This window comes from Homo sapiens, chromosome 19, assembly GCF_000001405.40.
Source record: "Homo sapiens chromosome 19, GRCh38.p14 Primary Assembly".
Lineage (NCBI taxonomy): Eukaryota > Metazoa > Chordata > Mammalia > Primates > Hominidae > Homo > Homo sapiens.
Genome location: NC_000019.10, coordinates 39,185,328 through 39,193,429, shown reverse-complemented (window position 1 = coordinate 39,193,429; position 8,102 = coordinate 39,185,328).

The window sequence follows — 8,102 nt, the reverse complement described above, 5'->3', positions numbered from 1 at the left end:
AATACCAAAAATTAACCAGGCATGGTGGTACATGCCTGTAATCCCAGCTACTGAGGATAATCACTTGAACTGGGGAGGTGGAGGTTGCAGTGAGTCAAGATGGCACCACTGCACTCCAGCCTGGGCAACAGAGAGAGATTCTGTCTCAAAAAATAAAAAATAAAAAGAATTGAAAAAAAAATAATAAAGGAAAATAAAGAAAACTAGAGTCTGTAGAGATTGACATCCCCTCCTGCCTACCCCTACCCTGGCTGTGGTTTTCACATGATCTCCTTTCTGGGTGCCTCGCTCACATCTGTTCCACACACACCCATACACATGACAGCCACAGGGGTTGGACTAAAGCCTGAACTGTGTCACTCCCCCAGTTAAGCCCTCCATGACTCCCCAGTGCCCTCAGGAGAAAAATCCCATCTCTTTGGCCAGCATCCAAGGTCCTGGGTTTCTGGTCTCTGCCTCCAGGACCTGTTCTCTTGCATCTCAGGGCTTTTGTGGTTCCCAAACTCAGCGGTTCCCAAACTTTAGGGCAGGTTCTGTCAGATTCACCCAGGGAGCCTCTGAGAAATGTGCATTTATTTCCAAGGAGCCGGCTTCAGTAATTGTGATGGGCCCCAGAATCTATGAGAAACCCTTTTACTTCAATCCAAGGGATCCAGGGCCACAGCTGGGCCCTGCAAAGCCAAGTGCATTATTATTATTATTATTATTATTATTATTATTATTATTTGAGTTAGGATCTTTCCCTGTTGCCCAGGCTGGAGTGCAGTGATGCTGATCACAGCTCACTGCAGCCTCGGCCTCCCAAAGTGCTGGGATGACAGGGGTGAACCACACTGCACCCGGCCTCCAAGTGCATTCTAACAATAAGTCCCAAACGTCCCCCTCTCTCCAGCAGGGGGATGGTAAAGTCCCTAATATGGGGGTTCAGCCCCGACAGGCTATTTCCCAAATACGTCAAAGCCTGGGTGACCAACACAGTCCCTCTTCCCCAAAGCCACGTCTCATATATCACGAAGTACAGAAAGCACGAGCAGTGGTATGACCACGTTGGAAAAGGATTGCACAATTTCTTTTCTTTTTTTTCTTTTTTTTAGACAGAGTCTTGCTCTGTCGCCCAGGCTAGAGTGCAGTGGCGTGATCTTGGCTCACTGTAACTTCCCGACTCCCAGGTTCAAGCGATTCTCCTGCCTCAGCCTCCTGAGTAGCTGAGATTACAGGCATGCACCACCACACCCAGCTAATTTTTTTGTATTTTTAGTAGAGATGAGGTTTCACCATATTGGCCAGGCTGGTCTTGAACTCCTGATCTTGTGATCCACCCGCCCCGGCCTCCCAAAGTGTTGGGATTACAGGCATGAGCTCCTGCACCTGGCCGACAATTTCTTATAAAACAAAAAATATGCACAACCTACGACACAGTGACCCTGCTCTGAAGTAGTTAGCCAAGGGAAATGAAAACATTGTCCACACAGAGACCTGGTCACGGTACTTTTTCATAACAGCTGCAAACTGAGGGGAACCCGAGTGCCCAGCAACGAGTGGGTGCATAAACTAACTGGAATGGCCACAATGGAGCACACTTCAGCAAGGAGAGGAATCACCTTTTTTTTTTTTTTTTTTTTTTTTTTTGAGACAGGGTCTGGCTCTGTCTCCCAGGCTGAAGTCCAGGGGCACGATCTCGGCTTAATGCAACCTCCATCTCCTGGGCTCAAACGATCCTCCTGCTTCAGCCTCCCAAGTAGCTGGGACCACAAACACACACCACCAAGCCCAACTAATTTTTGTATTTTTTTGTAGAGACAGGGAGTCTCCTCATGTTGCCCAGGCTGGTCTCGAACTCCTGAGCTCAAGCAATCCTCCCGCCTCGGCCTCCCAAAGTGTTAGATTACAGGTGTGAGCCACCACGCCCAGCCCAGGAATGATCTATGGGTACATACAAAACACAGATGACTCTCAAACACATTGTGATGAATGAAAGAAGCCAGGCAATACAGTGATACATTTTTAAAATTTATTTATTTTACAAATTTTGTATTTTTTGTAGTGATGGGAGTCTCACTGTGTTGCCCAGGCTGGTCTCACATTCCCGGGCTCAAGAGATAGTCCTGCCTCGACTTACCAAAGTGCTGGGATTATAGGTGTGAGCCACTAGGCCTGGCCAGTGATAGATTTTAGAGCATAAAGAAAAAAGAAAGCCGGGCGCGGCGGATCACGCCTGTAATCCCAACGCTTTGGGACACCGAGACGGGCGAATCACCTGAGCTCAGGAGTTCAAGACCAGTCTGGCCAACATGATGAAGCCCTGTCTCTACTAATAATACAAAAATTAGCCAAGCGTTGATGCACGCCTGTAATCCCAGCCACTCGGGAGGCACGAGAGTCGCTTGAACTCGGGAGGCAGAGGTTGCAGTGAGCCAAAATTGCACCACTGCTCAGTGTCGCCTTGGCGACAGAGTGAAACTCCGACTCAAAGTAAATAAATAAACAAAAGAACAATAAAGAAAAAGGAAAGAAAGAAGCCAGACATAAAAGAGTACCGACTATGTGATTCCAGTTATCTAAAGTTCTGGAAAAAGCAAAACTAATCTAGAATCAGATACAGCAGGTCTGTAATTTCACGAGGCTGGTGGGGCTTAACTACAAAAAGGCACAAGAGTAAATGCTGTGGGCTGATGAGAAAGTTCCATTTTAATTGCAGTTGTCATTATATGGGTGTATACATTTGTCAAAATTCAGCAAACTGTAGATTTAAAATGGGCGTAGTTTATTGTATGTAAATTATACCTCAATAAGAAACAAAACAAAAACAGTATGCCAATTCTCTCTATGTTGCTAATAAGAAAGTATCTACGAGGCAGTTATTAAGTAGAAGAGCAAGATATGGAACAGTGGGCCTTGTGCTTCAAAATGGATGCCGAAGAAGAAAAAGAAGAAGAAAATATACATACATATATATATATATATATATATATGTATATAAAATGAAGATTTGTCAGATCTCTTCCAGAAAGTGACTCTGCGGGCGAGATCTGGTGGCGTCCGAGACAGGCAAGGTGGGGACAATGACTTTGTACTCTATGTCCTTTGAAACTTTTGGATTTGGTATCACTTATGCGTATTACTTCTTTTAAGTATTACACTTTTTTTTTTTTTTTCCTGAGATGGAGTCTCGCCCTGTCACCCAGACTGGAGTGCAGTGGCACGATCTTGGCTCACTGCAACCTCCACCTCCCGGGTTGGAGCGATTCTCCTGCCTCAGCCTCCCGAGTAGCTGGGATTACAGGCACCTGCCACCACACCCAGCTAATTTTTGTATTTTTACTAGAGATGGGGTTTCACCATGTTGGCCAGGTTGTTCTCAAACTCCTGACCTCAAGTGATCTGCTCACCTCAGCCTCCCAAAGTGCTGGGATTACAGGCATGAGCCACTGTGCCCAGCCTATTACACTTTTAAGTGTAATTTTTGAGACAGTCTCACTCTGTTGCCCAGACTGGAGTGCAGTGGTGCAATCTCGGCTCACTGCAACCTCTGCCTCTTAAGTTCAAGCCATTCTCCTGCCTCAGCCTCCCCAGTAACTGGGATTACAGGCATGTGACACCACGCCCAAATAATTTTTTTTTGTATTTTTACTAGAGACGAGGTTTCACCATGTTGCCCAGGCTGGTCTCCAACTCCTGATCTCAGGTGATCCACCCACTGTGGCCTCCCAAAGTGCTGGGATTACAGGTATGAGCCACTACATCCAGCCTAAGTGTAATTTTTTTTTTGAGACAGGGTTTCTCTCTGTCACCAGGCTGTAGTGCAGTGGCACCACCATAGCTCACTGTAACCTCAACCTCCTGGGCTCAAGTGATTCTCCCACCTCAGCCTCCCAAGTAGCTGGGACCACAGGCACACACCACCATGCCCAGTTAATTTTTAAATGTTTTGTAGAGATGGGGGTCTCCCCATGTTACCCAGGCTGATAAAAAATATAATTTTTATAAAGCAAACAAGGTCCGGAGCCTCTCATTGCTTTCTACCACCTGTTCTTTCAACAGATGTTTATGAGATGCCTTCAATGGCCAAGCCCTGTGCACTGGGGTGTAATGTGGTGAAAGAACAGACACCATTCCTGTCCCCACGGGGCTTGCAGCCTTGTGGGGGAAGGGATGTCAATTAACTAGTTACAATTCAACAAGTAACTAGTTAATTGACAAACAGCACTAAGTGCCTTGAAGGTGAAGAATGCGCTGTCAGGGCAGAGAAGAGCAGGTGGAAGCCTTGCCTAGTTGGGGTGGTCAGGGAGGGCTTCTCGGAGGAGGTGATATTTGAGCAGAAACCTGAAGAAGGGGAAGGAATTAGCTGCACAAAGGCCTAGGAGAGGAGCATTCTGGGAGAGGAAACAGTCAGTGCAAAGGCCTTGAGGTGCGACGGGGTTTGGTGGGTTGGGGAAGAGCACGGAGGCCAGTGTGGGGTGAAGAGAATGAAGGGGAGATGAGGTCAGACAGAATGGGGCAGCTCTTTGAGGGGGTTCTTGGGAAATCAAGTACTCCATGCATATATGTGAAGTACGAGGTATCCGCAGGGGTGATGCCAGGGGCAACTGGATGTACCGGCTGGAGTCTGAGAGAGGGGTCGGGGCTGAGATGAAAATCTGGGAAGCATCACCTTGTCGACAACCAGGGAACTAGATGAAATAATAAAAGCCGGCCAATGGCCGGGCATGGTGGCTCACACCTGTAATCCGGGCACTTTGGGAGGCTGAGGCAGGCGGATCACTTGAGGTCAGGAGTTCAAGACCAGCCTGGCCAACATGGCGAAACCCCGTTTCTACCAAAAATACAACAACTAGCGAGGCATGGTGGTGCATGCCTGTAATCCCAGCTACTCAGGAGGCTGAGGCAGGAGAATCGCTTGAGCCTGGGAGGCAGAGGTTGCAGTGAGCTGAGATAGTGCCACTGCACTCCAGCCTGGGTGACAGAGCAAGACTCCGTCTCAACAAAACAAAACAAAACAAAAAAACTGGCCTGGTGCAGTGCCTGTAATTATAGCACTTTGGGAGGCTGAGGTAGGAGGATGGCTTGAGCTCAGGAGTTTGAGACAAGCCTGGGCAACATAGCGAGACCCCTGTCTCTACCAAAAACAAACAAACAACAACAAAAAAAAACAGGCATGGTGGGAAGTGCCTCTGGTTCCACCTACTTCGGAGGCTGAGGTGGGAGGATCACTTGAGCCTGGGAAGTCGAGGCTGCAGTGAGCCAAGATCGTGCCGCTGCACTCCAGCCTGGGTGACAGAGACTGTCTCAACAAAACAAAACAAGTCACCTTGTCATACGGCACACACCCTTCTTGCTTTTTTCTGCCTAACAAGATGGTTTGGTGATTGTTCTCTACTGGTACAAAGAAAGAGAGCTGGGCCATCCCCAGGCCAGATAAATTCCCCTTCCCTGCTATTCTCTATCACACCCCATTCGTCCTTTCTTGCATTCAGCATGCTTTGTAAATACCTCTGTGCGTGTGGCTGTCACTGGATCACAGTCTCTCACCCTGCCCGAATGTCATCCTCACCAGGGCAGGGCCTTGGGCAGGTCTGTTTATTGTCTGTCCCCAGCCCAGGGCTGACCTGACGTTGCTCTGCTTGCTGGGCAGGGAGGGCAGGAAGGCCCGGCTGGGCGGCAGGAGGAAGAGGCTCTGACCCAGCCGAGGCACCGCTTCCAACTTGCCCAAGCCTAGCTCCCACTGCACCTGCTGCAAAACCTGTCACCCCCAGGAGTCAGCACGTCCTGGGGCCCAAGCCTGCTGGTAGAGGGGGAAGGGCAGGGGTCCTGGAGGGTGGGCACCTGGGGCTGGGGGAGCAGATCCTGGGCTCTCTATCAGGGCTGTGGAGGGTGGGAAAGTGCAGCCAGGTCGGGAGGGGGCAGGGGTAGTAGAAAGGTGGGCTGGGGTGGGTGCTGTCTGCCCCAGATACAAACCACAGAGGTTTGTGAGGTTGGAGGGGCAGTGAGCCCACTTCACCCTGCAGGGGGCGACAGAGAGGCAGGACTGAGGTTGGATAGAAGGAGGGAAGAGTGTGGACAGGGAGAGGCAGAGACAGCAACAAGATACACAAAGAGCCAGAAAACAGGAAGAGAGGGCCCCTGTAATCCCAACACTTTGGGAGGCCAAGACGGGAGGATCGCTTGAGCTCAAGAGTTCCAGAACAGCCTGGGCAACATGGTGAAACCCCATCTCTACAAAAAAGAAAAAAATTGGCCGGGCACGGTGGCTCACGCCTGTAATCCCAGGACTTCGGGAGGCCGAGGCGGGTGGATCACGAGGTCAGGAGATCGAGACCATCCTGGCTAACACGGTGAAACCCAGTCTCTCCTAAAAATACAAAAAAATTAGCTGGGCGTGGTGGCGGGCACCTGTAGCCCCAGCTACTTGGGAGGCTGAGGCAGGAGAATGGCGTGAACCCGGGAGGCAGAGCTTGCAGTGAGCCGAGATCACGCCACTGCACTCCAGCCTGGGCGACAGAGCGAGACTCCATCTCAAAAAAATAAATAAATAAAAAATAAAATAAAATAAAATAAAAAAATTAGCCAGGCGTGGTGGCACATACCTGTAATCCTAGCTACTTGAGAGGCTGAGGTGGGAGAATCACTTGAGCCCAGGAGGCGGAGGTTGCAGTGAGCTGAGATTGTGCCACTACACTCCAGGCTGGGCGACAGAGCGAGTGAGACCTTGTCTCAAAATAAAATAAAAAACAAAATAAAATAAAAAACACCAAACGACTCCAAGCCCCCTAAATGTCCAGTGACAGTGGCTGTTCCTATCATTCATGGTTCCTCTGTTCAATGGAATATTACACAGCCGCTAACAGGATCAAAATTGCTTTTTATGTACCAGCAGGGAACAACCACCAAGATACATTGTTAAGTAGGAAAAAGTAAGGGGCAGAGGGATGTGCCCGTTATGCCAACATTCAACATTTTTTTTATTTTTATTTTTTGAGACAGACTCTCTGTCGCCCAGGCTGGAGTGCAATGGCACAATCTCGGCTCACTGCAACTTCTGCCTCCCGGGTTCAAGTGATTCTCCGGCCTCAGCCTCCCAAGTAGCTGGGATTACAGGCGCAAGCCACCATGCCCGGCTAATTTTTGTACTTTTAGTAGAGACGGGGTTTTACCATGTTGGTCAGGCTGGTCTCGAACTCCTGACTCCAGGTGATCCACCCGCCTCAGCCTCCCAAAGTGCTGGGATTATAGGCATGAGCCACCGTGCCTGGCCCATTATGCTATCTGTATGAAGGAAAATACATGTCTGTATATGCATGTAAGTATTTCCTGGTACATGCAGACATATCTGGAAGGAAGCACAAGAAACTTGTATCAGTGGCTGCCTCTGGGGAGCAGAACTGAGAGGCTGGGCATGGGGAAGGAGGTAAGGTGGGAGGGAGGCTGATTTTCCCATTTATTCCCTTTGGGATCTTTTACATTTTGTACCATGGGCTTGGGCCACCTGTTCAAATAATGAAAAAGACTAAGCAGGAGAATGAAAGAGAGAGACAAAGGAAGGCAGAGACAAAGACGTAGGAGGAGGCTGGGCGCGGTGGCTCATGCCTGTAATTCCACCACTTTGGAGGCTGAGGCGCGCAGATAACTTGAGGTCAGGAGTTCGAAACCAGCCTGGCCAACATGGTGAAACCTCGTCTGTACTAAAAATACAAAAATTAGCCGGGCGTGGTGGCCTGTGCCTGTAATCCCAGCTACTCAGGTGGCTGAGGCAGGAGAATTGCTTGAACCCAGGAGGCAGAGGTTGCAGTGAGCCAAGGTCTCGACACTGCACTTCAGCCTGGGCGACAGAGCGAGACTCCATCTCAAAAAAAAAGAAAAGAAAAAAGATGCAGGGAGAGGAGGGAACAGAGAGTTCACCTTCGTATAATCCAGCAGTCCCCAAGCGTGGCTCTGAGCTGCCCCCGTGTCCCCCAAGGGCAGTCCAGGACCCTGCTTGCTGCCCCATCTCATCCCCCAGCCAACACCTCTCCACCCCAAGTCTCCATGGATCACCCTAGGACGACAGCCTCCCTTTTGGAGTCTGCGGCTTGGGGCCTGCCCTCCTTCCGTGACCAGCCACCTGG